Raw genomic sequence first — 27388 nt, forward strand, 5'->3', positions numbered from 1 at the left:
TGCTCCTACCCTTATTTCTTAATTTTTAAAATACTTGCTATGTATTGAGCACTTTGCAAAACACTTAAGAAAATAGTGTATCTTGTCTTCACCATCATCACGAATGGTAGGAATAACAACTAGGTTCCTAAATTATACATGGGATAAATAGTTTAACAGAGAATAAGATGGCTCCAACACATTGCCTACTTTCAGCTCATACCCAGACCCTAAAAGCCCCTTGCTGATGGGCTCTCACTTGTTTTGCAATCATTGAAAACACAGTGACTAAGCCTCATTATGTGCTAAATAGATAGAAGAGTAATCTGACTTGGATCATAACTATCCCACTAGTCACCAAGACTGATTTGACTATCGGGGGCTCGGATTGTCTTTCTTTTCTCTATATACTATGCATCTTCCTACTCAAACTACTGCCTCAGTCAGGACCAGTATTATCAGGGAACGGGGTGCTCTGCAAGTCTTAAACTCATGCAAATTGAGTAACTTTCGATGCTACCACAGTACTCCATCACCTGGGATCTTCCTCTGATGGTTGAGGATCCAGAGAGCACACTGGAGATTTCATGGAACAGTGCAGTTTTTGAGGTGGTTTATTACTAAGATCAGTTGCTTTTCTTGTTGCCTGAATTGAGGTGCACAGGGTTCTAGTTATCCACAGGGTTCCTTTCAGTTATAAAAGCCTATTCAGGTGGATATAGATCCCTCATGAGGGCATGTAGCTTGTCAGAGTACAGGCTGGATTTTAGCCCATACTCATTCCCTTGGTCCAGCACAAACTGCACAACTATAAATAGTAGCCCTGGCAGTGACTGTGATTAAAAAAAAAAAAAGAAAAAAAAACCTCAGAGAAATCAAGCCTTGTTAGATAATAATGATAAAAATAATAACATCGACAACAATAATAAAAGAGTTAGAGCCAGATTTTCAGACTTCCTAAATCTCCAATGTGTGATTCCTTTCTGCAAGACCAGTATGACTGGGCATGTTTCAATTAGACATATAGTTAACATACATTTATAGGTCTTTTGTAACCCCCACATAAATACCATTTTATTATATGGGCATGTAAAATGCCATGATAGCATTTTTCTAGACTCTCGGAAACAAATGAGTGATGACATGCTGTCCCTCCCCTTATTATTAAGCAAAGAGTAGTTAATCTGTAGAGTTGTGAGAAAGTTCTTCTCCAGAGACCCATATAACCCAAGGAAACCTGGAATGGAACATTGTTACCACTGTGAAGAATATTGTAGCAGAACTAGCATTTACCACGCAAATTTTCTATATAGAAAATCTGTTGGAAACAGATTTTAGATGACATCAATCTTCTTACGTTCCTAGAAAATTCCAAGCTCAATCTTGGCCATGAATGTTATCTCTGAATAGATGCTTTTTTTCTCCTCATCTGATTATCTTTTTCATGTAGTCTTTTCTCATGCTTCAGATCTCAACTGAAATACAACATCTTTAAGGAAAACTTTCTTTACTCCCTAATGACTACTTTAGTAGCTCCCCAACCATCATGTGTCTTTACTTAACCAAAGAAATATGAATGGAAGTGGCATGCCACTTCTTGTCAGAAGTTTAGAGAGTATGTACTTGCCTTATTCTCTTTCCCTATGCGTAATAACTAATAATGTTACAGGTGGAAGAGATTTCATCAGCCTGTATCTTTGTGTGATGCCAGTGTGGAAGCCCCAATCAGGCAACAATGGATATATGATATGAGTTGTATCTATCCACAAATTGCAGGAAGATGTTTACAATTTTAACATCACCCAGTGTGTCCTAACTAATGCAATCTCAGAAGCCAGCTTATTTCTTTAGTATCTCTAACTACAATCTATAAATACTTATTATATTCTTTATACTCAGAAAATTTTACTAGAATGTATGTTTCATAAGAGCTAGAAACTACCATATTCCTACGCAGAGTCTAGTACAATGTAGGTGCTAAATAAGCATTTGATGAACACAGGAATGAATCCAAGTCCTAGACTATTATAGATGGTGTTTAGTGGAAAAGAAGCATCCAGATACCCCATTAGTAAGTCTGGGTGTAAAACTTCTTACAAATTTACCTAATTCTGAATAAGAGAAGCCTTTAGGAAGGACAAAGCATTATATTTTACCTGATTTCCTCTACCCGTCCCCAAAGCAGGAGCCAGCTAACTCTACTGGTAGGCTGATTCTTGCATACATTCTGGGTCTCTCTTATCCTTCCTTGGGAAGCAAATTTGCTATTCAGATATCTCAGCATCAAGTCCATCTTGGTCTTACTCAAATCTAACCTTTAGTTTCATAAAAAAAATTTTGAAACATTTTCATACGTGGTCACCTTTTAAACTCTGAAGAAAGGCATGGCCTCTTTCCACAGTACAAAATTATACAAGTTTACAATTTTACAGGATTCACAAACCCCCTGAAAGTTCTTCAGGGACCACTTTTCCCAATATTCCAAAGACCTCAAGCTAAGAAATGGATTTCTACCCAGTTCTCAGACCAAGCCTACATGTATCCCATTATTTCTGAGCCCTGTTTTGATGACTACATACCCCTGATCTTATCTTGCTGTAGTCCTGCCTTGATCTTACTTTATTTGCTGTCCTGAATATTAGGAACAAGGCACGGGCTCACCATCATTTTCAGTGTGTTGTCTGTAAGGCTAGAACAATTTCCTTGTGTATAGCTGGATAATGACTCCTTCCCTGAGCCCCAGTGCCAGTTCCACTCAAGGGAATATATCTTAGGTCTAGATTCTGGGCCCTCTTGATCTCTACAGTTTCACCCCAAAAATACCTTCAAACATGATCTCTAAAACTAGAAAGAATCCTCTGATACTGAGTATTTTTAAATGAAAAGACTTAAAAATTCTTTCATTTGTTCAGCTTCCTATGAGTGGATAAAAAGAGGTTGTAGAGTCACTTCATATATTAAAGTGTTTCCTCTTAAATTTCTTTTCAGCAGAGGCCAAAGAGTTAAAGTGTTTCTTAAATTGATAAAAGTGCATCATCAGAACAATGAGTCAGCTTCTGAGTCAAGCTGAGTTTTTCCACCGCAAAGTGCTCTGCAGTCCATTTTCTGCATTTGTGCATTATGCTGCACTAAACATGTGCACGGTAGTATTCCACTCAATTAAAATAGCAGTCTCAAGAAAGACTCATTTCTCATTATAGTGGACTTAGAACAGTGCTATTTAAACATTTCAGACGAAATATCTTTGATGGACAAAATCTCACACAAAAGAATGACAGGGAAGACATAGAAGTAGTTTCTGTGACCAAAACTTGAATAGTTGTGGTCCCACAATGCGTTTGCATTCCCTGATGCCCTCCACTCCTAGGGGGCTTCTTGGAACCACTAATCCTTTGTGTAGTTCGAAAAGCATTGACATAAAGTATTTATCTGTGTTGAATTCTAAGCTGCATTTGACAATACAGTAGTTAAATATTTCTGAAACAGTTTAGATAATCCTTCCTATCTTCCAAAATATCAAAAAGAAAGACAGCCCATGACCCCATCATTCATTTTGCTGTGAGTTCCTCATGATTGTTTTTCCAGGAATTTGAGAAGGTGAAGAAGTTCATCATTGTTTGAACAACATGGGGCTGGCTTCAGCTTGCTCCCACGAATGAGTGGAACTCTCGCTTGCTCTTTTTCCACCCTGTTACCACTATCTAATGTACAACTTGAAAAAATAGACTATGTTGCTTCCTGCTCCTATAGAACAGAATGGTAAATCCCTAGAGGTTAGAAGGATCTGCTAATCCCTGATGGCAAACCTTAAGATAAACTTAGCAAGTGGATTGTGCATGAATTCAGTATCTTTCGTCTTCAGTTTACAAATTGCCTAATCATAAAACTAAATGATCATCAATGAACTTATTAATGAGAAGCCCCCAAAGACAATGGATGCCCTCTTCATTTGAGCTATTTCTGCTACGTAAGTTTTGTCAGGAGTGATTTTCATTCCCCACCCATCTCTCCCAATTGAGAGGACAAAATTTAACTCATTCTTAAGACCCGAATTAAACGTCACTTCTTCTGTGAAGTTTTCCTTAATACAAATCTCACAGAGATGAGGTCAATCTGCATTTATTAGTGCAATTATTTTTGTCTCTATTGTCTCTATCAGACCATAAATTGCTTGAGGCAGAATTCATATTTTATTCATTTATGCCCCAAAGTCTGCCTCAGGGCCTAACACATAATGAATTGTCGAAAATGTTTATTAGGTGGATGACACTGACTATTGATATAAATAAAGTATCTCACAGAATTATTTTGTGAGTAGGCATACTTCGGAAATATGATGATCCAAGTGCTATCTGAGCCTACAGTCAAGGACAGAAAGGCCCCATGCTGGCTTTAGCTTTCTTACTGCCACCTCCCATCCATCAACAAAATTACATCTTCTACCTCTGGAAGAAAAATGACCACTGTAATAATAAGAGTATAAAAATTACCTCATGCTTAGGTTTTGCTTTTGATATTTTATTCAATCAAGACTTATTGAATATCTACTGGGTTGAGGACAATGCAGAAGATGTATTTAAACAATGTTTTTCAAGGAAACATATTTTAAAGAATTAAACCATAACTCACCTGTAATAAGGCCATATTCAGAAATTTTATGAAGAAAACCCTAAGTTCAGTTCAAGCAACTAAAGTTTATATCTTTTCTACAAATCAATAGTAAGCTATCTTTTAAACATTCATTGAAGTGGAAATTATTGCTTATGTTGGCAAGTATGAAATCTGGAATTTGAATGCCTATATTTGTAATGCAGCATCCCCACTTACTGCTCACTAACCTTGGGCATATTATTTAAGCATTTGGTGCCTCAGTTTTCTCATATGTAAAATGGGGACTAATAAACAGTATCTACTATATGAAATTATTGTGAGGCACATGAGAAATGCTTACAACATATTGTAGGTGCTCAACATATGATATGGAAGTTACTATAGAAAACCTTGTCTAGCAGCTGCCCTCTCTAAATCTTTGCAAAGAAAAACAACATTTCTTTATTAAGTTGATATTCAATAAATACCTTCTCTGTGCCAAACACCCACTAGTGACATAGTTATTAATGAGACAACATATGCCATCAGGAAACATATTCCAATAATGGAAGGCACTAGTAAAAAGGTGAACAAATACTTTCTGTAGTAATATTGTAAAAAGAAGATGCAAGAAGAGAGAGTGAAACAGTGAATGTCTCCTTTATATACAGTGGCCAGTAAGGACTTCTTTGAGAAATATTTAAGATGAGACAAGAATAATATAAAGGGACATTCATTCAAGAATCTAGGGGGAGAGTGCTAAAGAAGGGAGTCAAGGTAAAGGTCCTGAAGCTAGAACCACCTTGAGTCCGAACAACAGCAAGCAGGCAATGGTGCTCACAGCAGGGTGAGCTCAAGAAAGAGGAGCAAGTTATGAGGCCCTAGAGTTAGGCAGTGACCTGATCAAATGAGCTTTGGAAGCGATTGGGAAAAAGTAGGCATTAGTTCTCATTGTAATGCAAGGCCAGTGGAGGAGTTTGCACCATGGTGGAATATGATCTTATCTTCATTTTTAAAAGATAACTCTGTTTTATGAAGTGGAGATTTTGGATTAGTGTGAGAAGAATGAATCAGGTCAGGTGGGAGTGGTGGAGCCAGTTAGAAGAGTCAATATTTCGCATGTATTTTAAAATAGAGTTAACGAGACTCACTGCAAAATGTATATGGGCCTGTGAAGAAAAAGAGGATTCGAAGGAAACTCCTAGAGTCTTTGGCCTGAGCAATTAGGTAAATAGTGTTGTCAATTATAAAATGGAGAAGACCAAAGGAAAAGCCAGTTTGCCAATGAAAATTTACGATTCTGTTTTGGGTATGTCAGTACACTAATCTGGAGCTAAGCGTTAAGTGGTGATGTTTAAGGTGAAATTATACATTAGAGGTTTGACAGAATCAGCTAGAGAGATTGTCAGTCTCTAAGAGGACAAAGACTCTTCCCTAAGCATAGCAATAGTCAGAGGCTGTAAAAAAGGAGAAGAAATTTCAGACAACACTGAAAAGGAGCAGTCAGTGAAATAAAAGCAAAATCATGAGAGCGTGGTGTCCTTAAGAATATTTGAAGCACAATTTTAAGGACAACAGACTGGTCGACCACTTTAAATAATGCTGAGACCCTGACTAAGATGACCTCTGAGAAATATGAAGGTAATTGTTGACAAGATCATTGCAATCAAACAGTGGGAACAAGAGCCTAATTTGAATGGGTCAAATAGAATACAGCCAGTGAAAAAAATCAAAGTGTGTATAGACTTTCTTTTGAGAAATTTTACTAATGAGGGGAGCAAAAATATTTGTGAGAGGAAAAGCTAAAGATATTATTCAAAGAAATCTATTTTGCAGTGGAAGACATGACAGTATGCTGTCCCTTTACTAAGAGGGACTTTTTGGGTTAAGCAAGAGATTGGAATTCTGCCTCCTTTTTAAACAAGTTTTCCCAAATCTGTGGTGGGTATTTTAAAAGGTATTCATTCCAAGAAATTAGATGTTTAACCTGAATTTAAACTTTGTACAGTTGGAATTCCATAAAGAAAATGGAAATACACTTTCATTCTTCTAAGGTAGCATTTATATTGACCGGTATAGAATGAAATAGAATAATTTTTCTAAATCTAATCAGAAAGTGAATCATTTTTACTTCTACTTTCCAGAGAAGAAAATACTATACAATGAAAAATTGGCCATTTGATATGATTGTAGTCTATCATTCTTGTTTGTAGAGAAAGAAAATAAAATTCCATTTACTCAAAGAAGTCTCAGTGAATCAGATACTTTAATTCATGAAAAGATGGGACATACTTTTTAGAAATATGAAAAATTAAAATTGAGACTGCTTTTTTATTAACTTTATGTCAAAACTGTCTTTTACATAACAGTGCAATGAACTGTGTTTCACTAATACCAAGTAAATGTGTTTTTAATGATGTTATAATAAACCTAAAATCTTAAGAGGAGAGCGATGCTGTCAAAGAATAATTGTTTCCAACTTGGAAAATAAACCATTTACTCCTAGTGCAATGTTTATTTGCAGATAAATGGCTCGTTTTCACCTTGGCATCTATCTGATAGCAGGAAGAGGCACATCCTTGGTAAAAGTTCTATTATCATTATCACTTATTTTAATCACAACCATCTGTTGGATTTAGTTCCTCCTCCATAAAGAAGAAAATGGGTCCATTTCAAGAGCCAATAAAGGGGAATTTGTGTGAGACAGACTTGAGTTCCCATCAGAATCATCTGGCCCTGGATGTCAGACAAGTTGAGAAAAAGCACCTGCCACATCTGTAATGCCACTTCTGGAAGTCTCTTAGGACTCTCATAGAATGCTTTGCCTAGAGGGGAATTAGGTGTAAAATTTCACTTCAGAGCTTGTTAAATAGACCAGTCCTTGGAAATTAAGAAGTGTTTATGATGATAACTTAGAGAACAAAATCAGAATAAAGCTCCAGGCTATTCATGTCCACCAATGGCTCTTTGAGGAGAAAGTGAGAATTACACTCAAATTACACGTGAAAGAATGGCCTTGAAGAGGTCTGGTGAGAACACCTCCCTGTTGGGTTGATGCTGGTTTGGGACTAGAGGTATGACCTGAATGGTTACCATAGAGCCAGAGTGGTCCTGAATTGTCACCTTTCCCCTTTTATAAAATAAAAGCCTTTAATAATCTTTTTCCTTAATGTCCCTTTCCTCACATCCACCTTAAGGCTTAGCACTCTGCCCTATAAACCTCCCTTTGAGTCCCTTCCCTGAGAATCTTTCAGAGAAGCCTATGGCATACCAGACCCACTGCAATATTAAAAACTGCCTTAAGTCATAACCCTGGGCCTGCTGAGGCCATGTTTCAATAACACAAATTACCCATCCTTCTCTCTTCCCCTTTCCCTCACCATGGCCTGGCAACAATTGTTTGGAACTGAACCAACTCTGGGCCCTCCTTAGGCTACCATGTTGCCTGGCTCAAAAACATGAACTAGAACAATCTAGCTTCTAGAGTTAAATATACAATTAAAAAACAAACTCAAGGGACTTAAATATCTGTCAGAGTAAAGCTGAGAGGAAGGCTCTGAGATAGAGTTAGAGACCTGAATGAACCCAGATGAATGGCCCAGGAGTGAACAAAAGGTAGAAATGAGCATAAGAAGCCAGCTAGTGGAGAAAGAAATAGAGCCAGTGAGCCAAGAAAAGCACCCATGATCATCAATGGCCATCCTTAAAAGCTGTCCCAGGTCCCAGAAACTGTTATTTCCCCTTGAGGCCAGCTCTTCCATGGTTCCTCTTCTGAGATTTCTACACAATTTTACTTCTCACTACCATAACCCCCCTTTAAGTATCTTGAGTGGGTATCTCTACTTGAAGAAACAAATATCTAAATAGAAGTCAGTTAGAAATATAGACAGCTATCTAAATTTGGGTTATTTCTTGGAATAGTTTCAATGAATTGTGAAAAGGTTATCTTCTCTGTGTGGCTCTCTGGAGTCTGGTTTTATAGCAAAAGGATGTATATCCAATCACATATCTCAACAATCCTGTGACAACATAAATTCCAGGATAACAGCCTGAGAAGGGGGCCCAGAGACTTCCTAGGGCTTTAGGCCACAGATCTCAAACTGTTATGGTAGAATTCTTTCTTCTGTCTTATAAAGAATCCCTTTATATAAAATATACCCAGACATTCATGCTTTTGTTCAGCAATTCAGTCTTTCTTCATACTCCTTTCCCTAATCAGGAAACCCTAAGTGTCCCTAGAATTCAGTTGGAAAGCAATTAATCTCTCATTTTACACACGGAGTTTAAAAGATTTAAATACTGCTTTACGGGAACAGAATAGTGAGGCTTTATCTCTGAGACCATCTGTAATTCCTGGCTCTACTGTACTAATATTTAACATTCCTTTAAAATGTATTATTTTATATTTGTTCTCTATGTATTTTTGTGAAAATTTCCATCACAGGTTACAAAATACCCTAATATTGGAACACTCATTTGAAATAAATATATTGTATCATACCATTTTTTTACACAGTGCATTGAAAATCTTTGCAAAAGCAGATTGGATTTGGGCCTTAGCCCAAAGACTGAATTTTAAAGAGATGTGGAATGTGTTTTGAGAAATCCTAAGGTGAAAACTTGAAGCTGAATAATGAGGAGGTCTCTGTTTGTATAACTAAAAGATGCTTTTGTAAAGACATAAAAAGACTAAAAAAGAGGAATTGATTATATAAGAAACTGGGTGATTTAAGTATAATAGCGTCCCTTAAATGTGACTTATTTAAATCTCAAAAGAATTGGTTTTACCACATAATTCAAACCACATTAATGGAAAATTCTTGTATACTGGAAACAAGTAGCTATTGATCAGTAATAAAGATAACAGTAGAGACTGTGACAAAGATGCCAGTTGCCTTCAGTATCCACTTTCCTCATCTTCTCTAGGAATAAAACCCCAATTTTATTCTAAGAGCCAATGTGTCCACTTAATCAACCACATTTTCAAATTCCCTTGCATCTAGACATAGCTAAATTCTAGCCAATAAGATGCAAGAAGTGTTGTTTAAAGAAAGCTACCTCAGCTAGGAGACATCCATTTTACTCTTCCCACTTCTTCCTTCTTGATGCCTGGAACTCATCGTGACGGCTAAAAAATAACCAACAAAACAAATTTACAGTGAGGTAATCTTGAAGGTTGAAATAACATAGTAAGATGTAGCTGCTGTAGTAGTCCATGACTGTCTACTACCAGACTTAACTTCCTTACCAGAGAAATATACTTTGTAAATTTCACTGCTCTTTAGTGTTTCTTGGAATACACAATTAAAACAAAACAAATCCTAACTTATCCAGTAGCCTAACCTACAAGGTATTCTTATAGGGCTATGACATAGAAAGTCAGAGGAGAAAGTAAACATGATAAATATCTTTAAAATAAAATGTGCATCTGCTCATTTCCTGCTTGCACCTCCAGAAGCTGCTTAAGAATATTCATCACTAGAATGAATAACAACAAAATGTTATCCTATAAAAATTTGACTATGTAAAAAAATGTGAAATTATATAACAGTTTAAAAGACTTATTTCATATTTAAGTATATAAGGTTTAATTAATTATAAAATATGGATGAAGTCTATTTTCCCCCTGGAAATCTTTAAAAGCATTTGTAACTAGAATGTGTAGATATATATAATTTCTCTGGATAAAAATGTGAATATATATATATATATTCTTCTGGATAGAAAGCAATACACATATTGATTCCTTCTGGCAGAAGAGCATATAGATAGCCTTTCAGAACTATGTTTTCATAACTGTTACTATACATTTGAAGAAATAAACCCCATCAATCAATTAATTCTTTTCATTTTAAACATAACTGTCACCTTATGGAGAACATTAAAAATATCATCTCCTTTTGCTTAACTATAGTAGACATTTGCATTAAAATAGGAGGATCTTTATTTCTTTAGAGTTCATCTATGCTGCCGGTTATTCCCCAGCTAAACTCATAATCCTGTTTGCAACATCATAATCATTTACTCAACAAACAATCATGGTGTCACTAACAAAGAATTATGTCTTTAGGTAGGGGATAAACTACAGGCACAGATGAACTCTGAGGAAATAAACATTGTTTTCATGCAAATGTGGCTAGTAATAAATAACCGGGGGTGAAAATTATGATGAAACAGAATATCCTATAATAACGTATTTTAGGAGGCATAAATAGTATATACGTTTTTAAAATTTCTCCTGTCTGAAAGAATGATGCACAAGGTGTTCATAAAATTCTGGTAAAATTTTAGTATTTAAAACAGCTTTGAATTTACACAGAATAGAAGAAAGCTATAAACAGATGGGATGTTTCAGAAATATTTTTTAAAAATTAATTTATATATCTAGCTTTTAACATAAACACTGGCTTTTTACATCATTCAATCTAATTATCCATCTCACTGCAAGCATTCTGTACTTTTGATATTGAATGATTTTTGTGGATCACTTATGTCAACTTGCACCTAAATTCATTTATTTATCCAACATTAGTTTGCCTGTATATTCAAAGATTACAGCATAAGCTCATAAAAAGTGATGATAATAAGCATAGCAAAGCACTTTCCAGTTGCAAAAGTGTTTTTGAATTCATTACTTCATTTGATTTTCAACAACGTTCCTTTGAGCTAAGGAAAGTCAGTATCTTTTTCTCCATTTTATAATTAAGAAATACATTCATATTAGTCACTTTCCAGTTAGTAAGTAGTGTAATCTGATAATGTGAATATATACCCTGTTTTTCTCACTACATATATCATCTTCCTTTGGGAAAATGTAGGGACCGACAGGGCTTCTAAATTGGATCCTGCATGTTCACTTATTTATTCATTCCCCTACTAATGACATCCCATTCTGAGCGAGGCATCTGCTGGAGGCTGAGTTCTGTGACAATCAATATGGAACATGATCTATACTCTGTTGAAATGTATAGTCTAGTTAAGAGGCATATCTTCAAAAATCACATTTGTACATTAATAATTATAAGTTTTATGAAGCAAAAGGCAGGATGCAACGAGAAACAATGAAGAAAAAAGGGGCAAAAGGAATTAATTTGGATAGAGATTAGATAAATGCTCTTTGAGAAGATACATTTTGAGACTTAAGAGATGAGAAATAGCATGTGCCAAAACAAGGATAAGATGAGCATTGCTCAAGATCTTTTCAAAAACTGAATAAAGGGACAGAGAGAATTGCTTTTTTCTGAATCAAGATATTATTTAAAATAGCTGAGAAGCCATTTCATAACATTTATTTTTTTCAAGAAATATTTTCTATGCACCTCACATATAATGCCCAGCATTAAGTGATCTTAAAGGTAACAGATACCACTGGCCTGTGTTATGTGACATACTCAGCGTACACTAGATATGAATTACTTCAATGAATATAAAAAATACTAAAACTATTAAATAAAATTTAATGTTAATTTGTCTGCAGCATGTGCATGTCCAGAGGCTGTAAAATTATAGAATTTCATATGACTATTACAGCACTACACAAGTCTGGGTATAAACTACGAATTTCAACAAGCATGTAAAATCAGGTGGTCATTTATCCAATAGTGGTTAAAGGCGCACTGTACTGACTCCACTATTAGTAATATGGCTGAGGTTCTTGTGGAATATCTGTAACTCTCTCAGTTCCATAGTTAGAACCAGGTCCGTAGCAGCAATTTTAAGCATGAGCTTTAAAATGAGAGAACACATTGAAGCTGCTTCAGGCAAAGGCTCTAATTTTACTTAGTTTTTATTTCCTCATTAGACTAATGGCAATGGAATTAAAGAACTTTCTATATGAGTGGTTATTGGAAGCAAATAAAAGCAGAAGGGGGCCTAGTCTACGCTGCCACAGAGGAACCTCATGTTTAATTTCAATGTATATTGGAAGTCAAATGACAATTTTTTTATCTCAGATTTGGCCAGAGATGTACTGATGACAATTAATTATCAGCTTAATATTTATTTCAAAATTCTTATATTGTAAAAGGTAGCAGCATCATATAAAATGATCTTCTGAGCTAGTTCACAAAAGACTCAAGCTATGGCTGAATACACAAGAGAAAACAGTAGTGGTCCAATCCTTCCCTAACAAGAATAGGACAACACCATATTCCTTTTATCTGAGAGAAGCACTGGTATAAATCAAACCCAGAGGAACAATTTGTTTCTTCATCACAAGGGAAAAGGAAGATGTCTTAGAGCAAAGGAGGGTAGAAAGAGTCATGAAACCTTAAACCTGAGCAGATATGCTAAAATATGTACATATATTTTTCTATGTTAAAAGACGAACAGTAATGCTCATTTTAACTATAGATACTAAAATTCAGAAAGCCAGTAGTGTCAGGACAAGATGCCAAAAGGGCTTTGGACACAAATGATGAAGATTCATTGGTGACTCACTGTTGTCTGTCTATGGGATTGTGACAGAGGACATGTTAAGAGGGCAGTAATAATTGTGGAGGAGTCATACTCTTTTAAAAATTATATCTTTTGCAACATTTTATTCTGATAATATTACTTGCTTTCTTGATTGCTTATTGTCCACGTTTGTTAATCAGTTTCAATAGGATGCATTTTTATATTAAAAGACATGGAAATGGCTATAGGTCTCTTCTTCATAATTTTCTATTCTGTCAGTAGACGATGTGTGTGAATTTAGTACAGTTTATTAATGCCACAGAAAAAGTATCAAAGGTAAATTTACACTAAACAACCATCAGTCTTGTATAAGACTCACAGAGAAGACAAAAGAGTTTGAGTCTGGAGTCATGGCTACATTGTTGTCAGAGTGTGGCCAACTTTCAGGGATATTTTTCTGTTAAGTCAACAAACTCCATAAGGGAAAACTGTCCTAAAATGTCACAAAGTGATGACCACAAAATTATCATCCCATGTTTTCTCCTCTTTCTTAAGCCTCGACTTATAAGATTATAAATAACCATGGACTCCCACCAATATCAAAATCTACAACTACTCAACACCAGCAAAATACTTCCCTTTGTCTTCTTTCTTTTGACTATCACAACAGTCCTTCAAACTGGCTGTATTGGGTTCTCCAGAGAAATAGAACAAATAAGATATGTGTGTCTATACACATCTATATCTATATATCTATATCTATCTATATATCTATCTACCTATCTATCAGTTGATCTATCTATAGAAAAACAGAGATTTTCAAGAATTGCCTCATGCAATTGTGGGATTAGCAAGTCCAAAATCCACAGGGCTGGCCTGCAGGCTGGAGACCCAGGGAAGATATGATACTGCAGCTCAAGCCTGAAGTCAGTCTGAAGAAAGAATTCCCTCTACCTTGGAGGACCTCAGCTATTTTATTTTTCTTAAGGCCTTTAAACTGATTTCACGAGTCCCACCCACGTTATGTAAACTAATTTGCTTTACTCAATGTCTACTTATTTAAATGTTAATCTAACCTAAAAAAATACTCTCACAGAAACATCTAGAATATAATTGACCCTTGAAAAACATAGGTTTGAACTGTGAGGGCCCACTTATACATGGATTTTCTTCTGCCTCTGTCACTCCTGAGACACAAAACTCATATCCTTTTTTTTCTCGCCCTTCTCAGCCTGCTCAATATGAAGACAATGGTGAAGATTTTATAATAATCCATTTCTACATAATGAATATTAAATATATTTTCTCCTCCTTATGATTTTCTTAGTAACATTTCCTTTTCTCTGACTTACTTTATTGTAAGAATACAGTATATAATACATATAACATACAAAATATGTGTTGACTATTTATATTATAGGTAAGACTTCCAGTCAACCATAGGCTATTAGTTACATTTGAGGGGAGTAAAAAGTAATACACAGATTTTTGGCTGTGCAAAGGGATGGTGCCCCAAGTCCCTGTGTTATTCATGAATCAATTATAAGGTCTGACAAAGTATATGGTGTATTAGTCTGTTCTCACATTGCTAATAAAGACATATTCAAGACTGAGTAATTTATAAAGGACAGAGGTTTAATTGACTCACAGTTCAGCATGGTGGGGGAGGCCTCAGGAAATCATGGTGAAAGGGGAAGCAAACACATTCTTCTTCAAGTGGAGCAGCAAAGAGAAGTCCTGAGCAAAAGGGGGGACAGCCCCTTATAAAACCATCAGATCACATGAGAACTCATTATCACGAGAACAGCAGCATAGGGGTAACTGCCCCCATGATTCAATTACTTCCCACCAGGTCCCTCCCAGGACACCTGGAGATTATAGAAACTACAATTCAAGATGAGATCTGGGTGGGGACAGAGCCAACCCATATCATTTGGGTATTGTAGACCAGTCACATTTTCACATAAAGCTAATCACTACATTGACCTTCTTAAAAAAAGATGCTTAGAGGTCTTTACTGTGTTTTGCTAGAGCAGAGTATGAAAAGTTTCACACCCATTTTATTTTTGGTCCTCTTTTTTTCTTTTATTGCAAATTTTTGAAGATACCAGAACTTCTATAAATGTTAAAAACCAGAAAATAAACAGTGTAATTATAGGTTCAATTGATGATACTAACTAGTGTGACTTGGCTGTCAAATGCACACTCTTGTTGATGACATAATTATTTAAAATATAATTGGACGATGAAATATTTCTTTAAGTATAATCATGTTCTGCCCTATAGTAGGTTTTATAGACACAGTTGTAACAGTTATTTCTTCAAATTCACCATATTTTACTAACATAATCTGCAATATAGATTAGTGGTTGACATATAATATATCATTGGAAGAATAAGCCCTTGAACTTATAATTTTACTTTTATTAGTTTGTAGCCTTGAAACATCAAAGACATTAGTAATCAAAATCTCCAGCACTTGGATAGGTAATCACTTGGTTACTTTTCTCAGTTGTTTGCTTTACTCTGGGTACAAAATGGAAACAGTAATGAACAAATAATCTTTAAGTACTCTTTGACCACGGTAGTGTGATGACATGTTGCTTGTTGAGAAAATCTTCCTCCTCCTCATCTGTACTGCTCTCAGAAAGTGACAGCAAAGACTGAATTTTGGTATCTCTTCCAGAACAGCTGAAAATACATAACAAGATCAATACACAATATACAGAACCGGGTTTCAACTCTTCATTTATCTTCTGATCAATACTACATATGTTGGAGTTGCTGGAGGCAAGCAGATGTGAGGGAGCTGTATCAGACTGGGGCCATAATTTTCAATGTGCCCAATATACCAAGCCTCCTTTTAATGAGAAATTCTCATCATTCTCCCTCTCCCAAGAAATACAGCCACAGTAGAATCAAGGAGAGACTTTATGGTCTCTGATTGTGTCTTTTGTTGATGATTCAGAGGCACTTTAGAAACCTGCAGAGCCTCAGGGTCATCATTAAGAACATTCATCATCACATTGGCTGTTTAATAGAATCCCAGTGAATAGACTGCCAGATAAATCATCTCTTTTGTATACTGTAAATTAGGACTATGTAGATAGCCAGTCAAGATATGCTGAAGCAAAAATTAATGACGGCATTTGTTTGTTATTTTATTTTGTTGCATTTTATTGGTGGCAGCAGGGGGCACCTTATTCTGTTAGTAAGGTCCCCTTATATTTTTAGTATTGAATGTCATTTGTTTTATGAATGATGAGAATACTTGTAGGTGTAGTTTGTTTTTAATGATTTATCTAAGGGAAGAAAATATCAATCTTACATTGATCCTTTAAACAAATATAAATGATAATAGAAATGCAAAAATCCAGGCTGAGTGCAGTGGCCTGAGTAGTCCCAGCTGTTTAAGTGGCTGAAGCAGGATAGCCTGAGCCCAGGAGTTTCAGACCTACCTAGGCAACATGTTGATACCCTGTCTTAAAAAATTTTTTTACAAGAGAAAGAAATGTAAAAACCAAGAACAACAACTCAATGATTTCCTCTTCCAGAAAGAATAAGAAACTCCTGATTCCCTTTTTACTGCAGTATCAGATTTCAATTAAATTTCAATCAAAGAAATTTACAATACAAATAACTTATTTTATACTTATTTTAGTCTTTCTAGAAGAAATCCTGCTCCTTCTTCAAGGAATTGCAGTGTGTCAATAATAGACTGAAACAATAGACTACTTTTCTGAAACATTTACTAGTATAACCTACATTCCTTGTAAGCTGATCTGACCATCCCTAAATGTATTTTATGTGAGGAAAGAATGATATCATACAAATTAAAATATGTTATTGTTAATTTTCTAGGCTTGATTTCAAGAAAGAAACTTACTATTTGATTCTAAAAACCTTATTCACATTGGGTAGGATTCTATTAATACAAAGTATTGACATTTATTAGGTTAATTAATTCAAATAAGGCCATTGATTTTCAATATAATAAGAAATGCTGAAGGATTATTATATTCCAAATATCTTTTCATTTTTATGATACATATTGTACAGTAGAGAATGATCTCTTCACATTAAAGTAACAACTTTATAAGCCTTTTACTAAATCTCGATAATAGATCAGCAAAGGACCCAAACATTCTATAAAGAATGATCATATAAAGTATACACATGAGGACAATCTTTCTATATATAATAAAGATAACTAGTTGGAGCTTGTCAAAATTTTACTACATACTATATTAATAAATAAACTGCAGGCTTAACTTACCTCAATTCCTCAACTCCACAGGGACCCCTCACATGTGAGGTCTTAAGGAAATCTGTGGAAATCTGACTTATATTCAGTGATTGGCTGCTGAAATCTGGGAACTCTTCTGAGGTTAAGCTGTAAAGCTTTTCTGAAGTATCTGAAATATTTTATTTCATGCATTGTCAAAACATAAATTCAAGAAACAAATATACAGCATATGGTGCTGAATGTTTACCCAGAGTAAATTACAGGCAATACAAAGAAGGTCAGCATAGATTTTTAATTATTCCTCAATTTTCTAATGTTTGTGAGGTAAGTTTGATTTGAGATTCCAAATTGGGGCATGGGTAGCAAGTCATTTTTATCATATTGATTTGTAAATATACATTACATTTATAACATGTGTCAAATGTCCTGAGACCTCATAAAATTTCAAAAAAAAAATCAAATGACCCCCTTTAAAGCTACAATATTTTGCAGCCACTCAACCTGTTGGACATTTTGTTATCTTTTTTCTTATAAGAAATAAAAGCTTTACTCCCACACAGTCTAAGGGAAAGATTAGCCTTGGCAAAGTTGCTCTTTCTTTTTTGACTTCCTTGCTTTGTTTGAGTAGATAATAACTGTTCATATTTGAAAGCAGAGAAGCCTTAAATTTTTCTTTTCATGAAGCTGGCTTATGATTTAGCCTAGCTAAGGACAAATACTGCAAGTTAAACAAACAAAGTCTTTAGGCAAATGTATCTTCATATAAACTACCAAAAATTCAAGTATGTAACTAAATATCATTGTATATTAGAAAGGCTACAATGCCTTCTTTTTTCACTGCTGAAATTATAATGAGCCACCTAACTTATACATAAAGTTATACTATGATGACTGTTAAAACTGTCAAAATTACTGGTTGCTATTCTTCCCTTTTTTTTTTTTAGACAGAATTTCGGTCTTGTTGCCTGGGCTGGAGTGCAATGGTGTGATCTTGGCTCACCGCAACCTCCGCCTCCTGGGTTCAAATGATTCTCTTGCCTCAGCCTCCCAACTAGCTGGGATTATAGGCATGTGCCACCACACCCGGCTAATTTTGTATTTTTAGTAGAGACGGGGTTTCTCCATGTTGGTCAGGCTGCTCTTGAACTCCTGACCTCGTGATCTGCCCACCTCGGCCTTCCAAAGCCCTTTACTTTTATGAGAGGACCAAATAAACCTCCTCCTGGTCACAGGAACCAAACATCAACATACATGTGTTCTACAGTGGACTTGACTTTTTTTTTTTTTTTTTTTTTTTTGGTGGTTAGTATCAACTTGACATTTTTGAGCAAATAGAGATTTCCCTACTGAAAGTAAATCAGATTATTCCCACTGAAAAATAGACCTCAATAAATTTACACATGGAAGTGTCCCTAAATTTGTTTAGCCCCTTGACTTTGAAATCATGATGCATGGGTACGTTCAATAAGCTTAGGATTTGGTTCCTGCTCCCACCATATCCTCAGCAATCAGGACTTTACCTGATCTAAATTTAGGGGCTCTATATAAGATTAATTTTGAAAAAGACAAAAGATTTTTTAGTTAAAATTTTTTAAACCTCCTAATTACTTCCATCTTCACTTAGAGATCAGGGAATTATGGGCCCATGAAGAACTAATAACTTGCTGAAAGTCACACGGCCATATAGTGGAAGAGCTGAAACTAGAACTAATCTCTGGTAGCTCACCAATATTGTAAATCACTCTGTTCCAGAATCTAATTCTTTAGCTTTAAGCTATTATCTTCTCTCCTATTTTTCCGTATGGTAAAAGAAGACCCAAGGCACCTTTACATGTCCTAATGAAAGGGAATGCTCCCACAAGAAAGCAGTAAATTCAGGATTTGGAACTGGTAGAATTACAGTACTGAAACCCAACAGCAATGCTTTGATCTAAAGAATACCAGCAGGTGAGATATCCAAACTCTATTATGCATTTGAGCTAATTGAATGAGCATAAAGCTGTTCCGAGTTGTGCAAATAGAATGAGTCTATTTTTCTAGAACTATTTATTCTCAAAATTATATTTCAGAATACCTGTAAAGTTAACAGGAACAAAGGTGATACCACTTGATTTTAGGTAACAGAAAAATCAAGGCAGAGAAAAATAAAACTGCTCATAACAACCCTATTGTAGGTTAGTGTTAAACTCAAAAGGTCAATTGTACACAAATCTGTCTGCTGATTTTTCTAATTCAGCACCAGGTAAGACAGGATTAACATTTATATTAGAAAAGTTACAACTGGCAAGTCAGTTGATTGTTGAGAAATAAATTATAGTTAAACCTTTTCTATCCCTGGAGTAAGAGTACCTTCTCTGATCATTGAGGAATCTCTTTAAAAATAATAGCAATTAGACTAAGGAGAAAAAAAATAGATAAAATATAGAGTTCTAAGGTGCATTTCTAAAACTGAAGTCATTTAAAACACATACATAAAACTATATTCCATAGATAAATAAGCACTTACATGAAATAAAACACTAAAGAAAGAAATATAAAAACTTCAAAGAATGAGAACCAATCAGAGAGGCTATTTCCCAATAAGGAACAACAACAACAACTCTAAAGGACTATCTAGAATAGCTACATATCTACATCCTAATATTAAAGACAGTGTGGGCCGGGCGCGGTGGCTCACGCCTGTAATCCCAGCACTTTGGGAGGCCGAGGCGGGCGGATCACGAGGTCAGGAGATCAAGACCATCCTGGCCCACACAGTGAAACCCCGTCTCTACTAAAAATACAAAAAATTAGCCGGGCATGGTAGCGGACCCGGGAGGCGGAGCTTGCAGTGAGCTGAGATCGCACCACTGCACTCCAGCCTGGGCGACAAAGCCCTATTTCTAACCTATTTCTAACACTTTAGCCTTCCTTAATTTTTATTCTTTCCATCTTCTCTCCCCTCTGCACTATGTCTTGTTTATTTCTCCTTTTCCTATTCTCTCCATGCTTGCATCCCTTTACCTTCACTCTGCCCACACCCTCCCCTTCTTAAGTGGTGATATGGTTTGGATTTGTGTCCCCACCCAAATCTCATGTCAAATTATCATCCCCAGTGTTGAAGGAGGGGTCTAATGAATGGTGACATGATCATGGGAGAAGATTTCCTCCTTGCTGTTCTCATGATAGAGAGTTCTCATGAGATCTGGTTGTGTAAAAGTGTGTAGCACTTCTCATCCACCCCTTCCTCCTGCTCTGGCCATGTGAAGATGTGCCTGCTTCCCCTTCTGCCATGATTATAAGTTTCCTGAGGCCTCCACAGCCATGCTTCCCGTGCACTCTGCAAAACTGAGCCAATTAAACTTCTTTTTTTTTTATAAGTTGTAAGTTTTTTTTATAAGTTATTTCTTATAGCAGTGTAAGAATTAACTAATACAAGTGATTACAAAATTGATTTGAAGTAAAGGTTTCAAATTATTTATGTGGCATTGTTATACAGTGGCAAGACAAAGAAATGTGGGAGTAGCTTTGCCTGGGGTTGTGCCTTGCCTCTGCTATACATTTGGGGGAGACCATGGGCAATTACTGCATTGCCCAGAGCCTCAGTTATTGAATATGAAGAAAGGAAATTAAGAGTAGCATCTGCCCCATCTACTTCACCAAATAGCTGGTAAGATCAAATGGAGCAATATCACATATAAAAGCAACCAGTAATTATTATTACTGATTAAATGGTGTCATATTCCTTTTATTAACTTTTAAATATGTTTTCACTTCTATGTGCACCCAATTTGTTTTCTGCAATTCAAAGACACACTAAAGCAAAAAGACTGTCATTCTATCTCTTTGTAATTTGGCTGCCTTTTCAAGGGTTATCTAGTTAATTTGTGAACTATAAATCCTGATTAGATTAGCACTTTTACAGTTTAATACATTACTTAATGGTCAACCTATGAACAGAGACTCCAGTTACTCAGAAAGCCACTGCCTCACTGTTTTATTTCACTGACAGTATGGCCTATTGTCTAGTATCTGGTGCATTTTTATTATTTCTTATGTAAGAAAAAGTGCTTTCATCTCTTTTACTTGGGTCAGTTAATTATCTGTGAAGTCATACAAACACAAGATTGTTGTGGGAACTTAAAGACCATGAAGATTCTTAAACCACAAATCAGATTGAGTTTGAAACAAATAAATCATTTTTAACTATTGAAGAAGTAAATGCTTTAAAGTGCATTATTACTAATACTTTTTCACAATGTGTATTTCCTAAATTTCTTCAGGCTACAGCAACATCCAAAAACTGACAAAGTGTCTTTATAAGTAAGTTATACCAATATGTTAAGCTCATCAAGGAAGTAGTTATAATGTTATTTATATAAAGCTATTTGTGGAAGGAATAGTAAGTGGCATGAACTACAGCTAACTATAATCCTCAAAGCAATACAGATGATAATTAGTTCTAGAATGGAAACAGCTTTTAGAGTTTATTAAAAATTGGGTTTACCAAGAACATCTTACTGTATGTAGGAAGTGATACGGAAGTACGGCAGGGAAGTGCTGGATAGAGAAAGGCAGGTCCCTGGCTAAGGCTCCACACCACAGACCGAGGTGAGGACAGGCACTCCTGCTTTTGTGCACAAATGTTGCATTTCCCAAGACCACCCTGGCCCACCACATCCCCATCCTGGGCCTATAAAAACCTGAGACACTAGCAGGCAGACACACAGGTGGCCAGATGTTGAGAGCAGCACATCAGCTGAAGAAGACACAAGTGGTTGGACGGCAAGAGGACGTCAAGCGATCATGCTGGCAAAAGAGTACACTGACAGACTCTGGCACACTGGCAGCCCATCAACCAGCGGGTTGAGATGGAGTTTGGCTAGGGCAGTCGGAGGAGAGCTGGGGCCACCAAGCAGCCTAACTCTAGGGGAAAACCATCTCCCTTCTCGCTTCCCCATCAGCGGAGAGCTACTTCCACTCAATAAAACTTTGCACTCATTCTCAAAGACCACGTGTGATCCAATTCTTCTGGGACACCAAGGCAAGAACCCAGGATACAGAAAGTCCTCTGTCCTTGTGACAAGCTAGAGGGTCTAATTGAGCTGGTTAACACAAGCCACCTACAGAGGGCAAACTAAAAGATCACCCTGTAACACATGCCCACCGGGGTTTCCAGAGCTGTAAACATTCACCCCTAGACACTGTCGTTAAGTGTCTATCTGTATGATCCCCGAGAGGTTAGAGCAGTGGGGCACTGAAGAAGCAAGCCACACCCTCATTGCATGCCCTGCAAGGGGGACTAGGGAACCTTTCCCATTTCAAATGGGAGCTCTGCCAGGATCCTGGAAGATGAGTGTGAATGAATGTGAAACTGTCATGTCTGCCTCTCTTCCAAAACCTCCCACTTCTCTCTTTTCTGCGGGTAAGAAGCTCTGTTTCCCTTCAAAACTCTGCCCTTACCAGCCAGTCAAAATTCCCAGACTTCGTATCTTTTCTCTCATATGGTTTGAAATGGCTTTTATCTCTTTCTTTATAATGTTAAGAGTTTTGCTACAGGCTATGGCAATGTTACTAAGTAAAACGAGCATTAGGTTCAGCCATCAAAGGTGCAAATCAGATCAATTTTTCCTAGAGGTGCCATGTATGCCTCCACCTTAACAGCCACAGACACACACAGCTCAGGGCACCTCTTCTTACCCTTTCCCCTCCCAGCTTGGGTCCCTAGGCATGCCAGCAGCAGGCAAAGGCCAAGCCCAACAGCCACGAGTGGGTATGGAACAAAGCTGCGACGGTAACCATGACCCCACAGGGTCAACGAATGGGTGCTTCTCACCCACCACGCTAATGGAACCTTTCTTTCCCTGGCCAAGGAATTCAGCCTAGTCTGAAATCGGGTAAAAATATAAGGATTAGAGGGTTCCAGTTGTACTAAGCAAGGGGTTCTTCCCCCAGAATCTTCCCCCTTTTCCTCTTAAACTGTTTTTCTTTTTTCTTTTTTTTTTTCCTCTTCTAAGTGAGAGGCGTCCCCCACCACCAACTCTGTTTCTAATAGGGAAGTTAACAGAGTAATGGCCCCTGCTGACTGATAACTGCAAATTCGACAGGGCACATTTGAGACACTCTAAACAGATATAAACAGCCTCTAAAATACCTTTTCAGTCCCAAACTGGACTCCAAGCTTCAGGCTGAGGCCCTAGAAAGAAAAACAAGGTTTGAAGGATTCAAAGCCAGGCAACAGGTATAATGTAAATGGGCAGAACCAATTCCTACCAACTAAACCCCCCACCTCACGGAAGGAGGCCATGCTTCATGGCATAAACAGGCTCAGGAAACTCAAGGTTTGCTGAAAGCAGGGAGAAATGGGGGCAAAGGTGAGGGTGGTTAATTCCTATTCTCCAGGTTTTCCCTGCTTCGTGGGTACATACTGCATCAGTATCCATGGCCGGCACCTGCCAAGGTCATCGGGGCTCAGGGATAAGCAGTGGAGAGTGAAAGGAGGACATTCATTTTCTGAGTCTTTGTTGAAAGAAGAAAGGGAATGAGGGACACCTCTATTCACTGTCTTTCAGAATGGGCAACCAGTTATTTTCACCACGCTCAGCCTATACTCCTCTGGAGTGTATTCTGAACCACTAGGACTGCCTTGAGCCTCAGAATCTGGAGGAAAAGTGCCTCTTAGCCCTCTGCAAAAAGGTTTGGCCAAATTATGATTTACAGGAAAGAGTGGCTTGGCCTCAGGAAGGAACCATTCATTTCTATACCATCTGGCATTTGGAACTTTTCTATAGACGTGAGGACAGATGGCCTGAGGCCCCATAAGTGTAGGCTTTCTATAGCTTGCAAGGCAATCCAGACCTTTGCTGACAGAGTAGGATTGCCCTCCTGTTTGGCATCTCAGGGAAGGTTGCAAGGGGCAAGCTCAAGCAACTAAAAATATGAGTCCCAGGGGCAACCCCAGCAGAGGATCCAGCTACCTCTGACCCTGTTACTCGGGGTCCACCCAGACCACCCTATACAGCTTCAGCTTCCCACCTGCCTCCTCCTAAAAATCTTTGCTCTAGACAAACTCCAGTCTCACTCTTAACCCTCCAACAAATGCCCAGTAAATTTGGGCCTAGTAAGGTCCAGGTCCCCTTCTCCGTATAGGACTTAAAGCAAATTAAGGGGGATCTTGGCAAGTTTTCAGATGACCCTGATAGATAAATAGAGGCTTTCCAGAATTATACCCAAATATTTGAACTCTCCTGGAGAGACGTTATGTTACTTTTGAATCAAACCCCAATGGACACTCAGAAGCAGGCTGCTCTGTCAGCAGCGGAGAGATTTGGGGATAAGCTTTCTTTCATATATAGCGTCAGAGAAGGGGATGAATATTATCCAACTGGAAGAGAAGCAATACCAGTAAATAATCCTAAATGGGATCCCAGTGACGAGATGGAAGACTGGAAAAGAAGACACTTTCAGGTGTGCATAATGGAGGGCTTACGTAGGACTAAGACTAAGCCTCTCAATTATATTAAGTTGTCCATGATCGACTAAGGATTTGATGAAAATCCCACTGCCTTCCTGGAAAGGCTAAGAGCGGCCTTGACAAAGCACACCTCTATCTCCTGATTCAGTCGAGAACAGCTAATCCTAAAAGATAAATGTATTACCCAGGTAGCTCCTGACATCAGGAGGAAGTTGCAAAAATGGGCCCTGGGACCAGATAGTACATTAGAGGACCTCCTGAAAGTGGCCAACTTGGTCTTTTATAATAGAGACAGGAGGCCTAAAAAAGCGAGAGGAGATGCAGGAAACAGACAAAAGCTTTGATGACCACCATGTAAGCCCACAAACCCCAAAATTCCCAGGATGTGCCTGCTAACTGCTAAAAGATACGGCAAGAACAGTTATTTCTCTTCCAAAGTTTAACTGCTCCCATAAAACGTTTAATTTCTTTCACCAGGGTGAAACAGCTCAGGGTAGAATGTTGCTGTTAGTATATTTCACTTCTTATCTCTGTAATCTCTGGCACTAAATTCTTTCCTTGTATAATACACATGTTTCACCCATGCATACTTAACCTTATAAAACTTTTTTTTTTTTTTACTCTCAAGCCTAGAAGCCATCAAAATCCAAATGGTCAACCGGAGCCTCGAAAGATGGCTCCCCTTGTCTAGGAACCCTTAGACCGCTAGGAGTCTGACTGCCATTTACCCCAGAACAATGCCCCCTGTCAGCAGGAAGCAGCAAAGACAGGTCACAGTCCATATTCTAAAGGTAGTTAGATGTACATCTTCAGAGGGGAGAATGATACCGGAGGGGTCGAGGAAGTGCTGAGTAGAGAAAGGCAGGTCCCTGGCTAGGGCTCCACTCCCTTGGACCTAGGTGACAACAGGCACTCCTGCTTTCATGCCCAAATGTTGCATTTTCCAAGACCACTCTGGCCCACCATGCTCTCATTCTGGGCCTATAAAAACCCGAGACCCGAGTGGAAAAACACACAGGTAGCCAGATGTCAAGAGCAGTACATCAGCGGAAAAAGACACAAGTAGCTGGATAGCGAGAGGACGTTGAGGCAGCACACTGGCAGAAGAGCACACCGACAGAAACCAGCACACCAGCAGACCACTGACCAGCAGGCCACTGACCAGCAGGATGGGGTGGAGTTTGGCCAGAGCAGTTGGAGGAGAGCTGGGGCTGCTGAGTGGCCCAACTCCAGGGAAATACCATCTCCCTTCTGGCTCCCCCAGTGGTGGTGAGCTACTTCTACTCAATAAAACTTTGCACTCATTCTCCAAGACCACGTGTGATCCGATTCTTCTGGTACCCCAAGGCAAGAACCTGGGATACAGAAAGCCCTCCATCCTTGTGACAAGGTAGAGGGTCTAACTGAGCTGGTTAACACAAGCCACCTATAGATGGCAAACTAAAACGGCATCCTGTAACACACACCCACTGGGGCCTTAGCATCTGTAAACATTCACCCCTAGACACTCTCGTGGAGTTGGAGCCCCACAGTCAGCCTGTCTGTATGCTCCCTAGAGGTTTGAGCAGTGGGGTACTGAAGAAGTGAGCCACACCCCCATCGCACGCCCTGTGAGGGGGACGGGGGATCCTTTCCGGTATCAAAAGCACTACCTATTGGTTTCTTATATAACTTAACAGTTTTTTGAGGACTTACTATGTGCTAGGCACTGTTAATTGTGTGTGTGGAGAGAGAGATAAGTTTTCATAAATATAATATCTCATATATATAATTTTAATTAATGATCAAATAATTTTATTAGATAGGTTCTATTATTATGCTCATCTTTCAATATGGAATCTGATGCAATGACAGATTAGGGAAGTAATTTGCCCAATATTATGAAGCTAGTAAGTGGTGGTTTCGTTTCAAACCACACGCCCTGACAGGGGAACCTGGTTATCAACCAATCTGCTTTCTGTCTCTTGTCTCTCGATTCATCATGATGTTGTGCCTGCAACACACACACACACACACACACACACACACACACATCTGTCCATGCTAGGTACTTCTAGAATGGCACTCTGATATCAGCCACAGCAATCAGAATCCAAGGAGAAACTGTTTCCTTAAACACCTCTGCCCTTCTCAGGTACTTCTAGAATGGCAGTCTGATATCAGCCACAGCAATTTGAATCAAAGGAGAAACTGTTTACCTAATGTAGTTATTTTCTGTCTTATTCTCCCAGCTCCTTAACATGGTTGTTTTTCATAGAACTTAGAAAGAAGAAGTGGATGCATCCTAGAAATAGCAGAAAACAAGTCAGAGAGGTTGCTGTACACAATAATGCAGCTTTCACAGAGATTTGAACATATTTACATTTATATAAGCATCCAGTGGTGTGGAGGTGTATGTCTGAGAGCAAACCTCATGAAGTTTTTCCAGACTGCACCCTGAGTAGTGAAAGGTGAATGGAATTGTTCTGCTCATTGACGCAAAACAGGGTAAAAAGGCCTTGTGCAGAGTCAGTGACTTTTCTACAATGAAGCCTTATGTCACTGTAGCACTTGTCACCTCACTGACTGTTGGGTTGATTAGCCTGATATGTCATCTTCTTCCTTTCTCAGAGTGACCGTATTCATGAACAGTGCACTCATACAAAGCCAATCTTCCCAACAGAAAAAAAAAAAAAAATCCATGTCTGCGTTAAGTGTGAAAGTGGTTGCCTTCTGCTGTTGGA

General features: G+C 37.8%; 1 protein-coding gene across 20 annotated transcripts in view; it reads right to left on the reverse strand.

The window, feature by feature from the left end:
* Positions 1 to 27388, reverse strand: part of ZBBX (zinc finger B-box domain containing) — a 229485-nt gene that overhangs the window by 46861 nt on the left and 155236 nt on the right. For 9 of the 20 annotated variants that reach the window (XM_011513145.4, XM_011513148.3, XM_017007188.2 and 6 more), the window contains 3 exons: positions 17243 to 17381; positions 15539 to 15657; positions 14615 to 14703 (listed from right to left, as the gene is read on the reverse strand). In XM_011513145.4, coding sequence (XP_011511447.2) covers positions 14618 to 14703; positions 15539 to 15657; positions 17243 to 17381 — 344 coding nt within the window. In that variant the 3' untranslated portion in view covers positions 14615 to 14617. Of the gene's footprint in view, positions 1 to 9627; positions 9698 to 14580; positions 15658 to 17242; positions 17382 to 23345; positions 23388 to 26863; positions 26950 to 27388 lie in introns of those variants that run through there. The other 11 variants (NM_001377489.1, NM_001199202.2, NM_024687.4 and 8 more) reach the window with 5 other exon arrangements.

This window comes from Homo sapiens, chromosome 3 (genome assembly GCF_000001405.40).
Source record: "Homo sapiens chromosome 3, GRCh38.p14 Primary Assembly".
In the NCBI taxonomy this organism is placed as follows: Eukaryota; Metazoa; Chordata; class Mammalia; order Primates; family Hominidae; genus Homo; species Homo sapiens.